The sequence below is a fragment of the Homo sapiens genome, chromosome 5 (assembly GCF_000001405.40).
Source record: "Homo sapiens chromosome 5, GRCh38.p14 Primary Assembly".
NCBI classification, from domain to species: Eukaryota; Metazoa; Chordata; class Mammalia; order Primates; family Hominidae; genus Homo; species Homo sapiens.
In genome coordinates, this window is record NC_000005.10 from 33,091,062 (window position 1) to 33,094,055 (window position 2,994).

Consider the following 2,994-nt stretch of genomic DNA (forward strand, 5'->3'; position numbering starts at 1 on the left):
GTGTATGTTGAATCAATCTTGCATCCCAGGAATAAAGCCTACTTTATTGTGGTGGATTAGCTTTTTGATGTACTGCTGGATTCAGTTTGCTAGTGTTTGGTTGAGAATTTTTGCATCTATGCTCATCAGGTATATTTGCCCTGAAGTTTTCTTTTTATGTTATGTCTCTGCCAAGTCTTGATATCAGAATGATGCTGGCCTCATAGAATGAGTTAGGAAGGAGTCCCTCCTTCTCAATATTTTGGAATAGTTTCAGTAGGATTAGCACCAGATCTTCTTTATACATGTGGCAGAATTTGGCTGTGAGTAGATCTGTTTCAGGGCTTTTTCTGGTTCATAGGTTTTAATTACTCATTCAATTTCAGAACTCATTACTGGTCTACTCAGGGTTTAAGTTTATTCCTGGTTCAACCTTTGGAGAATATATGTTTCCAGGGATTATCCATTTCTTCTAGGTTTTCAAGTTTGTGTGCATAGAGGTGTTTGTAATCGTCTCTGAGGGTTTTTTTTTTTATTTATTTCTGTGGAGTCCATGGTAATATCCCCTTTGCTGTTTCTAATTATGTTTATTTGGTTCCCTTTGTGGATGACCTGCCCCTTCTCTCTAGCTGCCTTTAATATTTTTCTTCCACATTGACCTTGGAGCATTTGATGACTGTGTATCTTTGGAATGGTAACCTTGTGTAATATCTCACAGGAGTCCTCTGAATTTCCTGAATTTGAATGTCAAGTTCACTAGGGAGGCTGGGAAAATTTTCTTTGACAGTATACCCAAATATGTTTTCCAAATTGTTTGTTTTCTCTCTTTTTTCAGGGATGCCAATGAGTCATATAGTTGGTCTCCTTAAATAATCCAGTAAGTCTTGAAGGTTTTGTTCATCCTTTTTACTGTTTTGTTCTTTTGTGTGACTGAGTTGATTCAAAAAACCAGTCTTCAAGCTCTGAGATTCCTTCCTCAGTATGGTGTATTATGCTGTTAATACCTCCAATTTTATTATGAGATTCTTGTAGTGAGTTTTTCATCTCTATCAGGTCAGTTTGGTTCTTCCTTAAACTGGCTATTTAGTCTTTCAGCTCTTGTATTGTTTCACTGGATTCCTTAGATTCCTTGAATTGGGTTTCAACTTTCTCCTGAATCTCATCCAGATTCTGAATTCTATGTCTGTTATTCTAGTCATTTCAGTATGTTTTAGAACCATTGCTGGGGAGCTAATGCAGTCATTTGGAGGTGGGAAAACACTCTAGCTTCTTGAGTTGCCAGAGTTCTTCACTCATTCTTTCTCATCTGTGTGGCTGATGTTCCTTTTATCTTTGAAGTTGCTGTCCTTTGGATGGGGATTTTTTTGTTTTATATTCTTGGATGCCCTTGAAGTTTGACTATGGCATAAGCTGGCTTCAGTAAACTGGTTTTGTTTCTGGATGATTTCAGGGTGCCAAGTCTCAGCTCAGCACTCCTGGGCTATGTGGTGTAACCCTGGGGGCCTGGGACCAGGCCCATGGCTTTGTTCTTGGCCCCTTGAGGTTGAGTACCTGTAGTGTTGGGAGGGCTGAGGTGTTCCCAGTATACTGGCAACAACACTCAGATGTGGAGGGCTGGCAAAAGTACTTTGACAGGGCTTTGGCAGTGTGGTGTGTCCTTGCACAAGTGCATGCCAGCAGCATCATGGTGGCAGTGCTCTGAGGTCTGTGCGTGCATGCATGCCTGCTGGTGAGGCACTGACATGATGGGGTTTGCATGTGCACAGGTGTGTGTGCCAGTGGTGGCAGTATGATGGGGTCTGCATGTGCACCAGGTTGGGCAGGACCGTAAGGTCCATGGATTCATACATGTCAGCAAAATGGTGATGGAAGGCCATGCATGAGTGTGTGCTGGCAAAGACATAGGGGGAGGCTATGGGTGGGTGTGTGCCCACAGTGGCCCATCTGCAGAAGTTCTATGATACTTAGGCATGGTCTACCTGCGAAGGAGCTATGGTAGTAGCTGATGGGAGGTGCCTCATTTGGTTATCTCTGGCCCTGCTGCAAGTGGGTGCAGCCAGGCAGGGATCCTGGGAAAGACTCTCAGACAGCAGGGTGCTCAGATCAGACTGGCCCCTCTCACTGGCAGGACAGCCCTGTTCTGTCCAGGTCTGACAGTCAACAAAGGCCAAGCCACCTAGAGGAGCATGGTGAGCCTTGGGGGATGGGCATGCTTGGCTGTGCTCCACTGCAGCTATTTCCATGCCAAACTCTCTGGGCTCCACACTGGCTGGAGTTCTATCCCTGCCAACTCTCCAAGAAACTCTACCTGCCAGCTCAAATGTCTGTGGGGGTTGCTGGGGGTCCTGCAGCTAGGATTCAGGAGGTCCATGGTGAGAGTGGGCCATTCCACACCTGTTTAACTCATCCCTTCCCTAGGAGTTACTTGAAGCCAGGAATGAGTCCTGATGCTCAGCACCCTTGTGCAGGGTTCCCAGCTTCCTCCTGCTTCAGCTCACAGTCTGCGTCCTCACTCCATACACTGTCAATGTCTTTCTTTCAAAGATTATTCAGATTGTGCCAGTCTTATTAATGATCTGGTCTCTAAGTGGGAGAAGCACTTCCTGGCTGCATTTAGTCAGCCATCTTGGCTCTTCTCTCTTAAACAATATATTTTGAAGTCAGGCAATGAGATGCCTCCAGCTTTGTTCTTTTAGCACATAATTACTTTGGCTATTCAGGCTTTCTTTTGGTTTCATATGAATTTTAATGCTTTTCCCTAATTCTATAAAAAATGACATTGGGGGCTTGAAAAGGATAGTGTTGAATTTGTAGATTGCTTTGGGCAGTACGGCCACTTAAACAATTTTGATTCTTCCAATCCATAAGCATGGAATGTTTTTCTATTTGTTTATGTTAGCTATGGCTTCTTTCAGCAGTGTTTGGCAGTTTTATTTGTAGAGTTTTTTACCTCCTTTGTTACCTGTATTCCTAGGTATTTTATTTTCTTCTGTAGTTGTAAACAAGATTGTGTTC

The 2,994-nt window shown here is 43.6% G+C and overlaps 1 annotated feature.

The window, feature by feature from the left end:
* Positions 1,736-2,235: an enhancer, noted in NCBI's record as "H3K4me1 hESC enhancer chr5:33092903-33093402 (GRCh37/hg19 assembly coordinates)". NCBI's record gives its function as "activates a minimal SCP1, AML or CMV promoter by ChIP-STARR-seq in naive H9 embryonic stem cells {active_cell/tissue: H9 hESC(naive)}" and the evidence as "EXISTENCE:reporter gene assay evidence [ECO:0000049][PMID:30033119]".